Below are 21661 nucleotides of genomic sequence, written 5' to 3' on the forward strand. Positions count from 1 at the left end.
TCTGTACTAGTGGATGGATTATGTGGATTTGGTTTAACAAGAAGACTAAAATGTTTTAGGTGGTGTGGAAGCAAATTAAAAGAGATACAAATATATAATGGTGCACAGAGTTATATCAAGTCGAAGTGCGTAGATTCATAATGATTAAGAAAAGGAACTCTGGAATCTATTTGTTTGGGTTGGAATCCTTATACCATACTACCTCACTAGCTGTGTGTCGTTGGGTAATTTACTTAACTTCTCTGTGCCAGTTTCCTTATTCACATCCTATTTTCAATGGCATGCCTTTTCTCTTGGTTTATTCCACACACCTCTTTAATAGGAACTGTGTCAGTTTCATCTAATAAATATTGAATGTATGAAGGGATGAATGGATAAAAGAACAAAAGAAAACTATAAACTTTTGTCTCAGCTGGGCCACTCCATTACAAAATGTTTAAACTGGTTGAGTTTGACAGTCCTTCTACTACATTACGAAATAATAAAATTTATGCATTAATGTCGGAAGTTAGCATCAATTATAACATTACTCTAATAAAATTTTATTAACGAAATATTTAGGACTCAATTTGTTCGTAAGTTTAAGACTGCCACTGTAATAGCCAATTCTCAGTAAGGTTATAGGTGCCACAAAGAGCAGAGACAGACACATCCCTGAGGGAAATTTTGCTTAGGCTTTTTTTTTTTTTTTTAAATTTAAAAGCAGTTTTCACTGAGTAACTTGTCCTAGTTATGCCTATTTTTAAGCCTCTTTTTTTTTCTTTCTTGTAGACAAGAAGTACTGCTTTAATAAACGTGAACCGATGTGCACTCCTGTATGTTTGAAACTAAGAAGCCTAAGGTGAATTAAAGAATCTGTGGTTCTTGTGGGTCCTGCAGGTTACAAACTTGTGAAAAATCTTTGACTTTATACATCCCACTGCCCTACCCTGTTGGAAAAGACCAATCCTGGGTAAGTAGAACGTCCTCTTAGCATAGTAGAATATGGGTCAATTTAGTTAGCACTAAGGCCTTTACTCCCAGGGATGGGAATATCCTGATGTTAGGAAGTTCCAAAGAGTAAGATCAAAGGTTCTTTGCTCTGGTTTGGTTTCCTCCTTCCCCTTGCTCTCTGTCTTAGCCTGTTTGAGCAGCTGTAGCAGAATACCATAGACTAGGTGGCAGGTAGACAACAGAAATGCATTGCTCACAGTTCTGGAGACTGGGGAATGCAAGATTGAGGTGCCAGCAGATTTCATGTCAGGTACTAGCCTTCTTGGTTCACAGATGGCTGTCTTCTCTCTGTCTCCTCACATGGTGGAAATAATGAGGGAGCTCTTTGTGGTCTATTTATTTATTTTTTTCTAGACAAGGTCTTGCTCGGTCACCCAGGCTGGAGCACTATGGTGTGATCTCGGCTTATCACAACCTCTGCCTCCTGGGTTCAAGCCATCCTCCCACCTCAGCCACCTGAGTAGCTGGGACTACAGGCGCATGCCACCATGCCCAGCTAATTTTTGTGTTTTCAGTAGAGATGGGGTTTCACCGTGTTGCTCAGGCTGGTCTCAAATTCCTGGCCTCAAGTGATCTGCCAGCCTCAGCCTCCCAAAGTGCTGGCATTATAGGCATGAGCCACCGATGCCTGATCGTGGTCTATTTTATAAGGGCACTAATCCCTTTCACGAGGGCTCCACTCTCATGAATGACTTAATCATCTACTAAAGGCCTCACCTCCTAATACAATCATATTGGAGGTAAGGATTTCCATATATGAATTTGGGGTGAACACATTCATTCTATAGCACTCACCCACATTTTATCGAGGCACACTTCTTTTCCATGGATTTGTTTGGGGCTGGAAACATAAATCAGCAAATACATTTTCAGGAAGACTATCTCAAGTACTGCTGGAGTAATAACTGCAGAAAGTGTTAGAAATATCATAGAAAAGTGAATTCTCAGCATTGCTCAAGAATTTTTTTTCTTTTTTTGAGATGGAGTCTCATTCTGTTGCCCAGGCTGGGGTGCAGTGGCATGATCTCTGCTCACTGAAACCTCTGCCTCCCTGATTCAAGCGATTCTACCGCCTCAGCCTCACGAATAGCTGGGATTACAGGTGTGCACCACCGTGCCTGGCTAATTTTGGGAGATGTTAGCTGAATTCTACACTGGCTGATAAAAGCATACCACCGGGTGCGTTGGTACACTTGCTATTCTCGTTACCCTATTAAGTTGTAGTGGAAAGACCAGGTTCATCAGAATTTTAATACATAACACTTCCCACTAAACATATTTGGAAAAAATATTAATTTTATTGAGATAAATGTAGTCAAATTTTGTTTGTATTAATTATTAATGTTGCTCAATCTTTATGTGTGTTGTTCTCAAAGTTAAAAGCTAATGTGCTATGTAATGTGAGAAGGCCCTGTGGTCAGAACAGAGAGGGGCAGGCTGGGCACACAGTTAAATATTCAAGATCTTTGAGCACAGCCCCCTCCTGCTGCTTCTTGTCTCCTCCAGTCTTTGAAGTGGATTCTTGAATCCTTTCACTTCTTCTGTCTCTGCCCTTCTTGCCCCTGGTTTAGTGATTCAACCCACATTCACTGCCTCTCAACCTCGCTTCCTGTTGCTGCCACTGCTTCCGGCCAGGCCCTCACTGCTGACCTTCTGATCAGTCCAGGTAACCCACAAGCTCCCTAGTGCGGCCTCCATTAACTTTTGGTCTTCATGACCCTCAACTGCCCGCGGGGTTCATCCTCACCGAGTGACTTTCCAAGAGAAGCTGGACTCCCTTCCTCATATCTGAGACGTGCTGAATTAGAGAGGCAAAGAAATCAATGTATCCCATGAGAACTTCTAATTCCTGTGCCTTCAAAAAGAAAGTTGAGAACGGTGACTTTTAGTCCTAATGAGAAATTAAAAATCCTGAGGCCTACGGAAATTTTAAAAAATACATACATTTTGAAATAAACTAGCACTTTCTTAACTTTTAAGAGATTTTTTGAGACATGTTGAAGTGCAGAGACAAAGAAAATATTTTCTAAGTAATTTTTTACTTAGAATTTTCTAGCTAGTGCAGGCTGTATTAAGTTCTTCAAATTATGAAAAAGAAAAAAATGGTGTATCATTAAGAACTTTCCATGTAAATCAAGGACTTTTTTCTTTCTTAGAAAAAAAAGAATGGGCACATCATTTTTACATTAGAGGTAGTATTTGTTTTCAGGTTTTATAGTTAATTAATTAAAAATGATAATAATAGTTGAAATATCTGACCCTTCCCTCGAAGCATTTTATTTTTTTAGCATAGAATTAGAATATGGGAATGCATTTTCTCTGCCTGTATTAGGAGGATCTTATTGTAGTAGGTCATTGCAAACTGGTTTTCTTCTGTTGAGAGAACATACTTTTGTTCCATTCATATAGGTTTCTTATTTGGTCATGCATAAAATAAATGATTTAAATGAATGAAAGAGGTTTGAATGTGAGCACATTTTAAAAGTACTTATTTATTTATTAATTAACTTTTATTTAGAAATAATTATAGATTCACATGAAGTTGCAAAGCCAGCGCAAGGAGGTTCCATTTTTTTTTTCTCATGATAGTTACATCTGATGTAACTATAGTACAATAGCAAAACAAGTTTTATTTTCTATGAAAATTCCCTAGAAAAATCTCAGAACCCCTCTTTCCTACACATTTGCATGCACACACATGCTCATGCACTTACTTCTGTGTGTGCACAGAAGAGCCATTTTATCTAAGACTTTCAGCCTGGAGGCACCCTCAATCAATAGCAGCCTGCTACCCGGAAGGAGGCTGGAAAGCCTCTAATAGTGACACCATTCCTTTTGGAATCAGGTCAAGCCCAGGAGGCTGGAGACAAATGAAAGAATAATCTGGGGTCATGCCCAGGACTCCTGTATCAAAGCCTTTACTATCAACTACCAAACACAACAACCTGACAGATTGAAAGAACAGTTTTATGATGTATAGATTTTTAGCCATTATCCCTTTTTATTCTCACAGAGGAAAAGGCAAAATACTAGGCACAATAGATTTTAAGAGGTTTTGGTTCTTAAATTCATCAGAAAATAAAGTACAAATGAAGTACTACTCAGTCAGCTTGTATTATGTCTTTATTACTGTTAATATGGGTACTCTGTGAGTAGGAAATATAATATTTTTAGGTCACGCTTTAAAAGTGTAATGCATTAGTAAAAGCAGTCTGGAGCTATATGGTTGGCTGAAGACAATGAGACGACATGCACCATAGCTAGTATATTTCCTGACACTTCTCTCTCCAGAGCCTTGCCGGGCATCAGTAATCACATATAGCATCATTTCTCAATGAGCCCGATACCATCATCGCACAGTTTCAGGCAGCAGCTACCAATTGATTATAATTAACTGGCATCAGAAATGGAATCTAATGTGGGTTTTTTGGTGATGATTGATAGGGAAAGGCTCCCCTAAGAAGCTGGTTTTGAAAGTACTTTGAAGAAACTGAAAGAAGGAGATTGGAAATAGAAGAGTCAAACATCTTGTGGACAGATGATCATTTTATTAGTAATCCTAGAATGTTTGTTCCTAGCTATAATTCCTAGAATCTCAAATAGTGTGTATCACATTGTTGTTACTTAATACACTTTTGCTGAATTAACGAACAAATGGTTTGATGTTCCTTTTTAACCACCAATGGGTGGTATCAGAAAGGAAGCAGATTTTCATAGGAGGGCAGCCCCTTAAGGGGTAAGGTATCCTCTGGGTCTGGTTCTTAGTTTTATATGTCCAGAAATAACAATTCCATAGTTCTCAGTTTCTAGTATCACTGTTCTCTCAGTCACAAAACTTTGGAATCTCTTGGTTTGTCCTTCTCCACGTACCCAGTCAGTTACTAAGTCTGCCTTACAGTAAGTCTTATTTTCATTATTTCAAATTGAGTACCTTGCTTCCACTAAAATCACCACGTAGTGTTTTAATTACTACATTAGCTTTTTAAATTTTCGATCTTTCTTTGATTTTATCTTTGTTTAAAACTTACTTTGTGCCTTGTCAAAAGATGAATATTATAAAAATAGATTTGTTTTTCTATAACAAAAAATCTTAGGCATTGTAGAAAAATGGAATAATTATGTAAAAAAAAGACAATATAAAAATCATTCTTAATTCCATCTAACAGAAATGAACAGAGTTAGCATGTTGACTTGAATTATAGTGGTAGTATTTTTTTCTTTGGTAATACATTGTCTTTATTTCACACAAAAAATTTTGTTTATGTTATGCATATTTCTTAATAACATGCTTTTTCTTATTTAAAATATATTCAATATTTCCCATATTCTTTGTAACATTATTGCCTGAATGGTATTTATCTTATGGATAATGAATAACTTATTCACCATTCCCTTACTTATAGTCATTTCCATTTTATGCAGTAAAGAACACTGAAATAAATAAATACTGCTGTTGTAATAACACATGAGTAAATTATACAATAAGTTCTTTAGAATAATTTCTAAAAATATTATTTGTATAATTTAAAGAGTTGAAAACTGTTGAGGTTTTTCACTATATATTACAACATTGCCTGGCAGGGAAATCATATCAACTTAAACTCCCACCAGAAAAATGTAAAGAATTGGCAATTCAGTAGATAAATTAAACAACAGATTAGATACAGCTGAAGGAATAGTTTTAGAACTGAAAGATAAATCTGAAGTAATTACCCAGAACCCAGGACAGAAGGAAAAAATACAGAAAATATTGAAGATGGGTTAAGGGACACAAAAGATAGATAGAATAGAATAAAAAGTCCAAAATCTGGCAAACATATGTTTATAAGGAGGCAGTAATAAAAATGTGTGAGAAGAAAATTCAAAGATATAATGCTGAAAATTTTCCAGAATTGATGAAAATATGAATCATCCAACTGAAAACTCATAATTCATCCTGAGCAGAATAAAAAATAAATAAATCTTGAAAGTGTAAAAGACAAAATATTTGAAATAACCTGATATAAAATAATTTAACATCAAAGGCATAAACAATAGAGTAACAGCAAACTTGTCAACAGAAACAACATAAATTTAAAGATAATAGGATCATATATTCAAAGCTTTGATAGAAACTAGATTTTATATTTAGTAAAACTATTATTCAAGTGTGGGGTTAAAATGTTTTTTAGGCAAACAATGGGAGATTTTACTGCCTGATGTTCTCCAGAAGTAAAGAAATGCAGAATAAAGGAGTAGTATTCCATAAAAATTGAGCTAAGAAAATTGGTATGCATGTGAATAAATATTTTTTAAACATTAAAACAATAATAATGATGATTACTTTTGAAAGTTGAAAAGAAGAATAGAACTAAAATCTCAAGTAATGACATTTTAAGATGAAGAAAAGTATATGGAATGAAAGTTTTCTGAAGTCTTTTTACTGTTCAGAAAGATGACGGAAGATACACTGATGATTAAATTTAAATTTGTTAATCCAAGCTAACCAATTAAAAATGTTAACATAATTCCTAGAGTAAATTAAATGAAAAAAACTTAAAAAATAGAGAAAGGAAACATATGAATAAAACAAGAGGAATCTTGTAAAGTTAAATATATACATATTTGGGGACCAAGGAAAAGTATCTTAGAAAACTTGGATGCGAACATTAATAAGTAATTGAATAAATAAATCCATAAAATATACAAGATTTTCATTACAGCATTATTTGTAGCATTGAAAAACTGAAAATTAAGTGGATAAACTGGTTTATTCACGAAATGAAATACATACACAATTAAAATAAATGAACTATATTTGCATACATCAACATGGCTAAATACTCAGAAAACTGAATGAAAAATTAAGTTGTAAAAAAGAGTATGATGCTATTTTTATAAAATTTTCGGACAAAATAGTACAATACCCCCATATATGACATACAAAAACTAAAGTATAAAATATAAAAGAGGATATCCTTTTCAGCTTCAAAATACTAGCATCCTCTGAAAATAAAAGAATTAGATGGAGCTATAGCTACACAGAACATTTTATTTCTTTTAAAAAATACCAATTTGAAGGAAATATGCTAATATCTCTTAAATCCTGTATGGTAAATATGTGAACGCCTGATATATTATTTTCTGTACTTTGCTATATATTCAATTGCATTTTAGACTTAAAAATAACATTTAAAAGAAAGCCTTTCTCATACCCAAATTACATAAGTCTGATAAATGTTTTTAAACAGGTTGTTTCAAACAGTTTGCTGCTCAAAAACTACTTTTGCCAAAACTTCTACATCTAAAGCAAATGACATCCTTTTTAAGGTAGTTTGGCTAAAGACTAAACGTTTCTTCCAGTAATACTCCAATTTTTCAAAAACAATTTTAGAATCCCTCTTTTGTAATTTCCTAAAGCACTTTGTGATGATGAGTTACCATGAAAACGACATTGTTTCATATGTAAACCCTGTTTCTGAGATAGGAGTTGAAGTCAGGCACCAGCACTCAATGCTGAGCAAAATCATGGTCACTGCTTTCCTGGGGCTCAGAGCCCAGGCATCTTCAAATAACCCTTGACTGTTCAGAATATGAAATTCACAGTGAAAAGGGAGCCACAAGTGATCAGGGGGATAGTGTACTTTTTTGTTTTTTTGTGTTTTTTTCGTTTGTTTGTTTGTTTTGAGACGGAGTCTCTCTCTGTCGCCCAGGCTGGAGTGCAGTGGCGCGATCTCGGCTCACTGCAAGCTCCGCCCCCCGGATTCACGCCATTGTCCTGCCTCAGCCTCCCGAGTAGCTGGGACTACAGGCGCCCGCCACCACGCCCGGCTAATTTTTTTGTATTTTTAGTAGAGATGGGGTTTCACTGTGTTAGCCAGGATGGTCTCGATCTCCTGACCTTGTGATCCGCCCGCCTTGGCCTCCCAAAGGGGTGGGATTACAGGCGTGAGCCACCGCACCCAGCTAACATTGTTTTTATAGTACGATCTCGTCATCTTTTATTTATCTATCCAATTGCCTTTTCATATACTTTCCCCATCTATATATCTTTGTAAGTATCTATTTTGACATGCTTTTGGTTTCTAGAATGATAGAATTTCTTTTTTTTTTTTTTTGAGATGGAATGTCACGCTGTCGCCCAGGCTGGAGTGCAGTGACGTGATCTCGGCTCACTGCAAGCTCCGCCTCCCGGGTTCACGACGTTCTCCTGCCTCAGCCTCCTGAGTAGCTGGGACTACAGGCGCCCGCCACCATGCCCGGCTAATTTTTTTGTATTTTTAGTAGAGACGGGGTTTCACCGTGTTAGCCAGGATGGTGTCAATCTCCTGACCTCATGATCCACCTGCCTCGGTCTCCCAAAGTGCTGGGATTACAGGCGTGAGGCATTGCACCCAGCCTTGTGTAATTTTATGTATGAGGATAAAACAACAAAAGGGTGTAAAACACAACAGAAACCAGAGGTCCAAAGAATAAGAAGAAAGAAATGCCAAGGTATATAAAGATTACAAGGGTAGGCCGGGCGCAGTGGCTCACGCCTGTAATCCCAGCACTTTAGGAGGCCGAGGCCGGAGGATCACGAGGTCAGGAAATCGAGACCATCCCAGCTAACACAGTGAAACTCCGTGTCTGCTAAAAAAAAAAAAAAAATACAAAAAAAAAAAAAAAAATTAGCCGGGCATGGTGGCGAGCGCCTGTAGTCCCAGCTACTCGGGAGGTTGAGGCTGAGGCAGGAGAATGGCGTGAACCCAGGAGGCAGAGCTTGCAGCACTGCACTCCAGCCTGGGGAGAGTGAGATTCCGTCTCAAAAAAAAAAAAAAAAAAATTACAAGGGTAGAATGAAACAAAACACAAATAAGCAAAAACTGCAATGTGAAGGGCTTTAGTGTTCAGAAATCCAGAGAGAGAGGTAAATCGAGGGGAGGACCTACAGATTATCACAGGGAGAGGCACCATGTGGTACTTGCAACTAGGGCTCAGGGCAGAATGAAACAAAATGTACAGTGCTTTTTAAAAGACTGTCTCTAAGAAATGTAGCTGTAAGAATGAGAAAGACGGAAAAGAAAGATGATCTGCCATGATAGCTTTTGAATTCCGCCTCAATAAAATGGCAGATATATAACCCAGCCATTGTAAATGCCATCTACTTTGTAGTCTATCCAGCTTTCTAATTCCAATTAAGTATGCTGAATTCTGTGACATATGCAGAGCTCGAAAGGACAAATTTCCAACGCTCTCTTAAGAGAATTCATTAGAACTTCATCTTTCGGATCTGGCTATAGGAAACCTTGACTGCCTCGCACGTGATGGAGTGGCGTTCAGAAGGAAGACGACCGTTTTTAACTCAGAATCTGCGAGTCTGTTCCAAAACAAGATGGAAAACGCTTCCTGAGAGCTTCAGTTAAAACACTGTAACAAATGTTTCAGCAGATCTCAAATATTGTAATTTATCACGTTTATCCCCCGAAGAAATCTGCAATAAAATCCCAGCGTGTGCAAGATAAATGCGCTGGAGCGCACAGGGCAGTGATGAAGAGCACGGGCTCCCGCGTCAGGCACACCTGGGCTTAAATCTTGCCTCAGCAGCTCACCAGCGGTGTGACTCTGAGCTCATTTTCCCCTCTGAGCCTCAGTGTCCCCGTCGGTTAAGTATGGCTAACAATATCTCCTTGGACACATTTGTTTTGGGGAAATAATTAGGTTGAGTGAGTAACATGTTTGGTGCAGTGCAGAGAGGGTAAGCACTCCTGCAGCCTTGCAAAGGCACCACTAACAGTGGCAGCGATGGTGTCACGGTGACATGAAGATAGTGACCATCACCATCATCATTGTCCTACATCATTGTCCACATCAGCCATTGTCCTACATTGGCTCAACTTTGTTGCAACAATCCAGCTCCACGCAGACTCTTCTGTGAAGAAAGCTTCCCTGACCTGCAGAGAGCATCTGGTCCTCTGCAGAAAGCTCTCGATTTAGCTTCATTTTATATTTGAATTTGGTTCATGTTGCCTCCTCACTATTGCTAAGTGCTGTGCTCTTAGCACCTAGAGCTGAGGCTGACAAAAGTATCAACCAGCAAGAGCAGCTTTCAGGAAAATACTGAATCATAGTTTACAGAATGATAAATGAACAATAATTATTAACAATGATGAAACTTACAATAGACTCTAAAAACCCTTATGCATCTGTTTCTGCAATCAGGATATGCCGAGCAGCGGAAACAGGGCACACTTCTCCTTAGACAGTATTTGAATTAAGTTACAGCTAAGTCATTCATTCTGCTCTTTAAGGTGAATTTCACTGATTTCATCCAGCAAATATTTTTCTCACAGAAAGCAGAACTTATTTTCTTAATAAAAACACAATTGTTGGGAAGAAAAGAACTGGAGCATGTAGTAAACACACAGTTTGAGAAAGATGGAAACAGAAGTGGAAATTCTCCCTCGCCCAGATGCCGGTCATCTGAGCATGTTCAGCTGAACTTTATTTATTATGTCACAATCATATTCTTGAAAATGAGGTGGCAGTGACTATGAGAAGAAACAGGACATAGGATATGCTGTGAAGGCAGAAATGTCCGATGGTGACCACAGATTATGCAGGGACTAAATAACAGCAATGAATCATCTGAGCAGAATAAGGACACACCCTCCTAGCCACCCACCCTCCACATTCTACTTTCCTGAATTTAATAAATTGGAGTGAAAAATTGAATTCTAAATGCTACACCACAATAAAGACAAATCACTCAAGACAAAATGAAAATACAGAAAATCAGAAAACCAAACCTATTTATTGAGGATCTCAACTCTGCCTGCATAACAGAACTATCTAGGTATTTCTGAAAAACAATGTCCTATGCCTGAGGTTCACCCCAAGAGTTTCTGACCCCCAGGTAATTCTAGGGTGTAGTGGCAGTTGAGGACCATGGTCTTAAGTCCTTTATGATAAATCACTAGTTAGTACTGATGGACTGACTTATGAGGAAATATATACTTTTCTTAGTCATAACAGAGACTTTCCTGTTTTAATATATTAATGTTCTAAGCAACAAGGAAAAACAGATTATGTATTCTCCTATCAAGATAAAGATTTTAAAGAATAAATTTCACCTGAAAAAAATCATCTTTTTAAAAGTAGATAAATGAGTGTATGGGAGGTGGGGGAGAAGTTTGGGGTTGCCATATCAGAACCTCCTACAGAATTTTTCTGAGTACAAATCTGTGGCACCATCCTTTCCCCTAAAAGGCCAAGTTGAATCTCACTGGCAGCTTCAGCCCATGTGTGATTTTGAAACCTGGGTCACCTTACTAGCTCTACATTCATTTGTGTTCCTCAGCTGACTCGGATCTTGTTTGTATCTTCCCTAGAATGCTGAAGCCCTGATGGAAGATGAATAGAAACCGGACACTCCCACAGAGGGCTGGTTAGCTGGTGCACCATCCCATTTGCTCTTGGACTCTGCTCACTTCACCTCTCGGTGTGACTTTGCGATGGCTGGAGCTGTGCCAGGCCTGCTACCCCTGGACACCTGATGATATCAAGAGGACTAAGGGCCCCTGAAATTTCAGAAATGCTGAATCCGTGGCAAAAGAGATGTTATTGGTGCCCTGAGTTCTTGTAATCTCCAAGGAGAGAAATCAAGAGGGATCACCAGACATAGCAGCCAAAAAGAAAGAGAAAAATTTATTTTAGCTTGTGTGCAAGGAAGTCAGCACTGCAAAAGGAAAAGGTGGGTTGCTCCCCAAGGGCAGTATGTGGGTTAGTTTTACAGGGACTTTCTATAGAAAAGGATTTTGTCAGAGCCTGAATAGGAGGGGTTTGTCTAGAGCTTGTGCAGTGGTTTTACATGCTTCTTCATACATCACAAATAACATGAGCATTTTAAATCTCCACTGCTGGGCATGATTTTTAGCATTAAAATGAGGCAAGGGTAACTATAAGTTAAAGTTTAAGTCTAACTGCACACGCAGAACTTCATGGTAGGCCCTAGCCCCCTGAAGTAGGAACTCGTGGTGGTTAATAACTTCTTGGGTCTTGTTGTTAATCAGCTGGAAGTTAGGTAAGGTGCAGCATGAATAAGGGGCTTTTGTTCTTTTTCTCGAAACCACCTCAAAACAGGAAATCAGCCAGCCTGTCTGTCTCAGAAAGACCAATAGGTGTGAATTAATCTTTAACCAAAATATCCTGGGCTCCAAGGCAATTTGGGGGTGTAAATACACCCCCAAATCTTCTATTAATTTCTTAAATAGATTATGAGGCAATCCAATGATTCACAGATTTACCTTTGCCTATCCACTGAGTGAACTTTAAGAGAACTGTAAGTTGTTTTTCCAGTAGGTTTATCTGCTAGAGCAGATGAAATCTGTTCTTATTCATTGCAGGCCTCCTGAGATCCTAGTTCCTAAATTTTTAGCAGACTCTTCCACCTCTCTATTGAAGGGTGTGAAGTATCTTCCCTGTACTCAAAATAGCTACTGATTGATTGTTCAGTCATTTACATATAAAAATAAGACTCTGTTTTCTTCCTCAGCAACAAGGAACTCTCTAATTCCTATCTGACAGTTCACAGAGATGTGGTGAGTAAGTACAAGTAGGTCTTCGACAAAATTTCTTGCAAATACTCTATTGGTCAAGTCCTTGTAGAATCAACTAGGAAAGTACAGTGCCTATGTTAGGTTTTTAATCTGTCAACATGCTATAGCTTTATTTGATGAAAGACTGCTCCATGCTGTGTAACCAGTAAAATATGAATTATAGGTAATCATCTCATCAGAGTTGAATTCTTTACATTTAAAAAATATGAATCCTACCTTAAGGAAAGCTTCTATTTTCAAAGTGGAATCTTTCTAAATACTCTTGGAACTGGAGTTATTTTCAAGTGCCCTAGAGAAAGCAAACAGCTGTTGAATCCTACACAGAACTAAGAGTTCAAAAATCAGTGCTTAGACTTTCCATTTCAGCCCAGCAGGGTCACCCAAGTGACATTTCTGGGGAACAGAATCAACTTCCAGTAAATTAGCAAACATACACCACAAATGGAAATATTCAATTGAATATTTATAAGAAATAAAAAATTGAAGGTGTATGGAAAAGAGAATCACTTTTTATTATTGAAATGTCTAATGCTTCAAGCTAATAGTTTAAACTGAAAATCAGGATGTTATTGGGAAAGGAATGCAATTAACATTTTATGAGTAACTGTGTGGTGGTGTTTGTTATTGTTAAAGGAAAAAAAAAGCAAATACTTCCCAAGTACACTTTGTTTATTTCAATTCCTAGCGGCAGAGATTTTAAGGGTGTTTACTGGTGTAATGGGAAGAGCACTGGACTAGGAGCCAGGAAACCTGAGTTTGGCCAGTGATCTTTTGGCCTTGATTTTCTTTTCTGTAAAATGAGAAAGAGGGCTAGGCTAGTCGTTTCTGGCACATGTCTGGCCACATGACAAACCTCTTCCTCAAAGATTATGACTCAGTAGGTCTGGGAGACCCGCTTCTGGCATACTGAGATTAGATCCCACAAGCACATCATTTAGCTTATGTGGAACTAATGGATGGATCAAAACATTGAAAGATAAGCAGTGTTTATTCTAAGGGAGAAAGGGAAGGAGACTTGCCGGAAATCATGGAAGCTGAGATGTCATATTAAAAGAAGCAATAGAAAGAATCTTTGAGCCAAAGTTATCAAAAATACAGGCATTTCCATTGTGCATTTGTGGAAGAAAGACACACCATGATTTGAAAGTTTCTGATGTGATTCAAGGATGCCTATGAGGAGGCAAGTAAGCGGCACCACTGTTTGCACTCTGACTCCCTTTTTACCCAGTGCATCTCTGCTTAGTCTGTTTTAAATGCCACAGTTCAGTGGCTGAAACATGATTGAGCTGTATATTCTAACACTATGTCCTGGAAACTGGTGAATCTGTATTTGTTCCCAATTTCTGTATCTGTTAATGCCACCATCTTTCTCCTTATACACACTTTTATTAGGTTGGTGCAAAAGCAATTGTGGTTTTTGCCATTAATAAAAGCCCATGTCCAGTTATGACCTAGCTTGTCAATTCCTTTATATTTCATCTCAGATTTATCTCAGTCGTTCACCTCCCATAGCCACTTCCTGATCACAATCATCTAAATTACTGCAATGCCCTTTTGCCTAGTCTCTGAGTCTCCATTTTATTTCTTCTTCAATTCTTCCTTCAGCACTTCTTAAATTAACCTTTCTGTTTCACAGTTCTCATCCTGTTATTCGCTTTCACAGAATCATATACTTTTGGTTAATTGTCTCTGTAATGGTGTCAAAATTCCTTAGATAGAGTCGGAAGGTTCTCAATAATTCAAACCCACTTAGCATTATAAATTATTTTATTCTGTTTTTCTGTTTGTAGCGTACGATTGAGCCAAACTAGAATTGTTCTTACATCACGTGAATGAGCCCGTATGTCTTTTATCTGATTTGCCCTACTCTTTCACATTTCCTATTGAATCTCTGTCTATTTTCATTTACTGAAAGAATAACAGAAGAGATAAAACTACATAATCCTATTTCCCAGCACAATTATTTCAATTTTTATGTAGAACTTTTACTTTTACATATGCATATGTATTTTCATAAATGCAGTCAATTTTATGTATATTTTTGCATTCTCATTATAAGCCCTTTCCATTTAGCTACATAATTTTCATTTTTAATAGTTGCATAATTTTCCATACAGCAGCTGTGCCATAATTCAGGTAAACATTTTTCTATCGATGGCCATTCTGGGTGTTTCTAATTTTTAGCTATTATAAATAGTACTGCAAATTTTAGCTATTATAAATAATGCTGCAATTAATAGCTCCATGTATAACATTCTGTTTGGGGTTTATTACCTTTGGATAACTTTCCAGGAGTGGATTTTACTAGGCCAAAGATATAAAATTTTTATGGCTTTTTGATGTACACTGACAAATTATTTTCCAAAAAGTTTATACCGATTTATACTGCCACCAATAATGTATATGAGTGTACTATTTTTACTACAAACTTGCTGACTCAAAACAGAACTATACCTCACTAATATATTATTTTTTCATATTTTTAGTACATGTGTTAGGAAATGTAATGCTTAAATTTTAAGTATTGCATTTTCTTCTTATGTATTAATAAATTGTCTGTTCACATTATTTTCTGGCTGAATTTGTAAATTTCAAAAGGTCATGGGCCATGTCAGTCTTCTCTCCACTCTATAGTACAGTTCAGCACTGTTGCAGTACATAGAGAGTATTCAATATGTATTTGTGCTGTAAGTAAATGTATATTTATCTTTTGATAAATATACATTTACTTACCACATTTTTATCAATCCAGATGAGCTCTTTGTAGACTTATGAGTATTAACCATAGTTAAAGTAAATATTTTCCATTTATTCTAGTGAACATTGCTTTAGAAGACACAAAAATTGTAATAGAAACTGTTGCTATAGTCTTTGTGCTTTCTTGTATCGCCTTAAAACCTAAAAGTTGTACTCTATAGAGATGCTAATGTGTACATTCAAGTTTTTATTTATTTTTGTATTTTTTGTTATAGATTTTTTTGGGGGAGATTAATTCTAACTATTCTTGAATCAAGACCTCTCCTCAATGCTTCTTTCTCAGGTTCTGTCTGAGTGCTGGGTTATTTACCTGAAACCATAGCTACTGATGGCTTAGATCTGAAGCTTTTGGGTTGGATCCCACCTGGAGCCTTCGCTTTGCTTCTGTGTGTAGGAACATTTTACCTAGGCAGGAGGGATTTAAGTTAATCCAGCTAACACTCTGAGATTCAGGATTAAGTCAGCATTGCTGCTATTTTAGCCATAAACCTTTATTTCAGCTGTAATAACAGTGCTTCTGCTATGGTCCCATGCTGGGTACCTGGTATTTTAATATGATTATTTTGATAGGGATGTATTTACCTGACCTAGAAAAACAAATTGTTAAATTTTAGGTGCATTTCAATTATCAAGAAAGAGTGTTTCACAGATACTTCCAGCCCATCCTTAAGCCTCATTCCATCTGTCCATCACCTCACTGATCTCTGACCCTCCTCAACTTTGAGCATCACAGCAAAATCAAAGTAAAGATTAGATTTAAAAATCCAGCCTGTTCAAGGTCTATCATAGTCTTAATAATTGAATTTCTGCTTTATGTTTCCAACTTTAAAATACTTTTAGTATTATAACTCACCTGTATTAGTCAGGGTTCTCCAGAAAAACAGAACAAATAGGATATACATTGATATGTAAGAAAAGACCTGTTATAGGAATTGATTCATACAATTACGGAAGCCGAGAAGTCCCACTGTATGCTGTTTCAAGGTGGAAAACAGGAAAGCCAGTGGTGTAATTCAGTCTGAGTTTGAAGACCTAAGAGTCAGGGAGACAGATAGTGTAGCTCTCAGTCCAAGAAGGAAAGGCTGAGAAATGAGCCAGGGTAGGGGGTCCTAGGAGGAAGGGGTATTGGTGTAAGTCCTGGAGTCCAAAGGCCCGAGAACCAAGAGCTCTGATGTTTGAGGGCAGAAGATGAATACTCCAGCTCAAGAGGAGAGAAAATTTACCCTTCCATGGCCTTTTTATTCTGATGCCTTTCAATATTGGTGAAGGGGGCTTCTTCTTTACTCTGCCTACTGAGTCAAATGCTCATCTTTTCTGGAGACACCTCACAGACACATCCAGAAATAATACTTTGCCAGTTATCTGGGCATCCCTTAGCCCAGACAAGCTGACACGTAAAGTTAACCATCGCCCCACTTCAGTCTAAAAGGCCCTTCTGATTCTGCTCCATGCCCCCCTCCCTATAAGGCTTCCCTAGTGCCAATTGCCCACTGACGGCTTTATAGGGTGCCGTCTCCTGAGCTCATGCTACAGGGATCTGAGAAGGTCCTCTGTCACTGTGTCTTGGATATTTCTGCCTGACATTTCCAGCCTCTCGACCAGAACGTCCCCTGCTGCTTCTTTCATTGTATCAGTCCATTGTCATGCCTCATTTTTGCTGATCTGCCAGGATAGCAACTTGATCCTGAGATAGAGCTTCCCCTTTTTTGAAGCCTTCCTTATAGTGGCTCCATTCCATGACATCACTCCTATTCTGCCCTCCAGGGAGCCTCAAAACCACCAGTTAATTCCTGTTCTTCCCAACCTCTATAGCATTCACCTAACTTGTATTATGTTAAAGGTTTTTGTAGTATGCTTAGCTCATCTCCAGTACATGGCCAAGTCCTAGAGAGTAAGCAGCATGCTGTTTCACATTTATGTTTTTCTCAGTCACATTGTCTCACCTACGTTTTCATGCAGAACATTTAAGAAAAAACAAAAGTTTTCATTTTGTCCCACCGTTCTTCTCTGGCCATTCTTTGTTCCTCAAAACTCCTCTGCTTTAGTCAAATACAGTTACTAAATCCTTCTACATCTTAGTTTATATTGATTGTCCAACAGAGGAAAAAGAACCCACCAAAACAACAAACAAATAAACAAACAAAAACAACCTCTTTTCTCTTTCTGTAAATCATATGCTTCTTCCCAAATATCTTGCGTCTCATTTCTTTGTGAGGCATTCCCCCACCTAACCTTACAGTACTTAGCTGTTTCCTCATTTGACAATTCCTCTTTCCTACTTGATTTAGGTTTTATGTATCAGCTCGCCCTCCTTTTATCCCCTTGCTCTCTGAACCTAGTAGGCGTAGGTAGATGAAAGAAAAAAACCTCATGAAAGTGATACCGATGAGCTAAGTTGTTTGGTTATTTTACTTGTTTGTTTGTTTTTTCTTTTTTGAATTTTTTGTTTTGCTTTGTTTTTAGTGGTGGTGGTAAATTTCCACTGGTCCATTCAGACCACCTCATACTGTTTCCATAGTTAAGAATTTGCAAAATAGCTGGGTAGAAGGAGGGGTGCATGCTTTGCTCATGGGTGGGGAAGTCAACTGACCCACAGGAAAACAAAAACCAAAAAAAAAAGTTGTTTTATTATCCCCAGTTGGCAAAACCATGTTTTCTACCAAGAAAGATTCTCATCTGTTAACATAACATCTGTTTTATATATTTCACAGACGCCTCAATTGCAAACAATGGACAACCCACTGAGTTTTGTTTCTGTGAATATATTTATCAGAGATTCAGATATATAAAATATTTTATTTATTGTGCTGATATCATGTGCACATAAGCATTAGATATTATCATCTATCCTTCATAGATGTTAATGCTGCTGATTTAGTTACTATCAGTGGTATCACTAAGGCTGTATAGACCAAAACAAGCATTGCCATATTTTTCATGCTACATGCACAGCCCACACAGCAAGAAAATGGGGACAGCTTACAAAGTATAGGCACATTGTTCTGTAATCTGTACCCATGTTGGATAAATGTTTATTAAAATCCTTTAAAAGTGCCAGCATTATCAAAATAATGAGATAATGCCTTCAAAGTAAAACAAAAATTCAGATAAATAGACAAAACAGAAACTGAGTCACAGAGTTGAAATAGAGATATTATTTTTATCAAAATATTTACCTTTGGTCTTAGGTGACAGGTTAGATGGAAGGGAAACAGCAATTTTGTACCATACTTCTACTCATGAAATGGCTGTGTGGTCCTGAACTGTTTATTGTATATTGCCAAGAAGGAAGGTTTGATGACAATAGAAAGACTAGAACTAACCAAACCACAGGTAGTGAGCGCCAATTGCAAAGGCCACCCTGAACAACGAATGCAATCCAAAATCTTTATACACATCGAATTCTTCTTTAAAACAATACGTTCAGGCACTTGGTTTTGTGTTTTTAAATTCTTGTTACGTTGTTTCCTATTTATTATGGCCAATTTTATATTTGTTAAACAGCTCATCATTTATGATAAAAACTTTGAAATCATTTCAATCTTATTTTATTTGCCACATATGCTATAAAACAAACTGGTTGAATCACCAGCCTTACTTAAAAAGAGAGAAAGCTGGGAATATGAGTGTTGGAGCAACAAGCACAAGGAAAGAGCACTGGAAACTGGCAGGGCTGGAATGCAAAGCCCCACCCCCGACTCCCTGGCCCCAGTTCTTTCAGGTTAAACTGTACTGCTTTTTTTCTGGGTAAATGCTTAATCAGTTTGTTCCAGTCTCCCGCAAAAAAACTAAACTCAAAGTGGAGATTTTCACATATTCCTCTTCTTAGAACAATGGCGTCCTCTTTTGCTGAATGAGTTTCTTTAGGAATTAACATTTATATGTTCCAGATAAGACACTCCAGGGTGTGTATTATAGACGAGCAATGATGTGCCTTGGCAGTTAATGGCACTCAGTCCAAACTACCAGGGCATGTCATTATTAGGTCATAATACCCACCCTGGAGTGTCTTACAGCTTAATTGTTCCCTCTTCCATTCCAGAAACTAGGAAAAGACATATTTTACTCACGTTTCTGCTTTGTTAATGAGTTCAGAGTGGATGAACACATGTGTGCTGCCTGTTCTGCCTATCACACATGTATTCAGAAATAAATGCAGGTCACATAATCCTCAATTCCAGCTTGCATATTTTGCTACACAAAGTTGGCATGGCTTGAATACCTCTGAAGGTAAAGATTTAGAATGCAACATTTGTCTAAATGTTCAGACACTTAAAACTCATGAGGCTTCCCCTTCTACCAATGTCCTTAACATTTATCTCCAGATATCATCTGTTTTTCTGCTGGAAATTTCCACCAAAAGAGTTATATTTTGGTGGAGTATTTTGGACTAGATTCCAGAATAGACTATTTTCAGTCTTTTGAATACATATTAATAATTAGTTGTGGCCTTAATAACTATTTAAGCTTAGGGGTTTTACCCATATTCACCAAAACTCTTCAATCAAAACGGAAAACTCATCATGCACCTTCAGCTGATTCTTCTACCATCAAGTCATGATCTCCTTACAATAACACTTAAAATAACAGGCAAATGGATAGAAGTTACAAGAAGTAGCTGACATAGGCGTGTGTGGTTCTAAAGTATGGCTGTCTAGTAATAAAATGTATTGCTGTGCAAACAAGCATGAAATCAGGCTCCAGATCAATGAGACAAACACAGCCAGGGAGCTATCTAAGGGACACAGCTCTTGGAAAGTTTGTGGTGCAGAAAAACTGGTTTCAGATGGAGTTGCTTAGTCTTGAGTCTTACCCCCAGAATGATAAATATCATATAACCAATAAAGAGATTGACTCAGTAATTTTAAAACTGCCCACAAAGCTTGATGCCCAGATGGCTTCATTGGTAATTTCTACCCAACATTTAAAGAATTAAGGCCAATTCTTCATAAGGTATTCCAAAACATAGAAATGGAGGGAACACTTCTCAAATCACTCTCTGAGGCCTGTATTACCCTGATATCAAAATGAGACAAAGCTAGGAATCAAAGGAAATTTACTCAATCTGATAAAGGCCATCTATGAAAAACCCACAGCTAGTTTCATACTGAATGGTGAAAGACTGAATACTTTTCTCATAAGATCAAGAACAAAACAAGTATATCTATTCTCACCATTTCTACACTGGCAATGAACAATCCAAAAATGAAAGTAAGGAAACAATTTCATTGACAATAGCATCAAAAAAATACTTAAGAATGGATTTAACAGAAGGTACAATATTGCAGTTTCGAAAACTATAAAACATTGATGGAAGAAAATGAAGAATATCTAACAAAAGAAAAGAACCCCAATATTTATGGATTGGAAGACTTAATATCAGATTTCTCTACAGATTTAACACAATTTCTATCAAAATACCAGCTGATTTTTTTTTTGCAGAAATTGACAAGCTAATTCTAAAATGTGTATAGAAACACAGAGGAGCCAGAATATCCAAAACAATCTTGAAAAGAAGAACAAATTTGGAGCACTCATAGTTTCCTACCTCAAATTTACTAGACAGCTACAATAAGCAAGACACTGTGCCACTGACATAAGGATAGGCATATAAATTGATGAAGCAGAATTGGGAGTCCTGAAGTAAACATATACATTTATGGTTAATTGATTTTCAACAAGAATGCCAAGATAATTCAATAGGGGAGAATAATCTTTTCAACAAATTAAGCTGGGACAACAAGATATTCACATGCAAAAGAATGAAGTTGAACCTCTTTCCCCCACCATCCACAAAAATTACCTCAAAAATGTTTCAATCTCAATAAAAGCTAAAACTATAAAACTCTTAGAAGAAAGCAAATGAAACAATCTTCTTTACCTTGAGTTAAGTAATAGCTTCTTAGATATAATAAGAAAAGTTCAAGCAACAAAATAAAACATAGGTAAATTATACTTCATCAAAATTAAAATTTTAGTGCTTCAAAGGACACAATCAAGGAAGTATAAAGTCCCAAAGAATGGTGGAAAATGTTTTTAAATCACATAACTAATGACGAAAGATTAGTATTCAGAATATATGAAAAACTCTTACAACTCACTAATAAAAAGACAACTAACTTAAAAACGGTGAAAAGACCAGGATATACATTTTTTTAAAGAAGATGTACAAATGATCAAATGATCTAGAAACACAGGAAAAAGATGATCAACATCATTATTCATTAGGGAAATACATATCAAAATAAGAGATACAAAGAGATACCACTTTGCATTTATGAGGATGGCTAAAATTAAGAAGACAGGCACTTAAAATACAAAAGACAATAAAAAAT

The 21661-nt window shown here is 37.1% G+C and overlaps 2 long non-coding RNA genes across 4 annotated transcripts in view; one reads left to right on the forward strand and one right to left on the reverse strand.

Moving 5' to 3' along the window:
- Positions 1-14021, forward strand: part of LOC105378072 (uncharacterized) — a 91283-nt gene extending 77262 nt beyond the window's left edge. The window contains exons 2-4 of one of the 3 annotated variants that reach the window (XR_007059824.1): positions 772-2172; positions 11343-11704; positions 12506-12607. This is a non-coding gene — a long non-coding RNA (uncharacterized LOC105378072). Of the gene's footprint in view, positions 1-771; positions 2173-10541; positions 10808-11342 lie in introns of those variants that run through there. The other 2 variants (XR_007059825.1, XR_001744424.2) reach the window with 2 other exon arrangements.
- The window catches only part of LOC101928923 (uncharacterized), a 487547-nt gene that overhangs the window by 61878 nt on the left and 404008 nt on the right, over positions 1-21661 (reverse strand). The window lies entirely within an intron of this gene.

The sequence above is a fragment of the Homo sapiens genome, chromosome 6, assembly GCF_000001405.40.
Source record: "Homo sapiens chromosome 6, GRCh38.p14 Primary Assembly".
Taxonomy (NCBI): domain Eukaryota; kingdom Metazoa; phylum Chordata; class Mammalia; order Primates; family Hominidae; genus Homo; species Homo sapiens.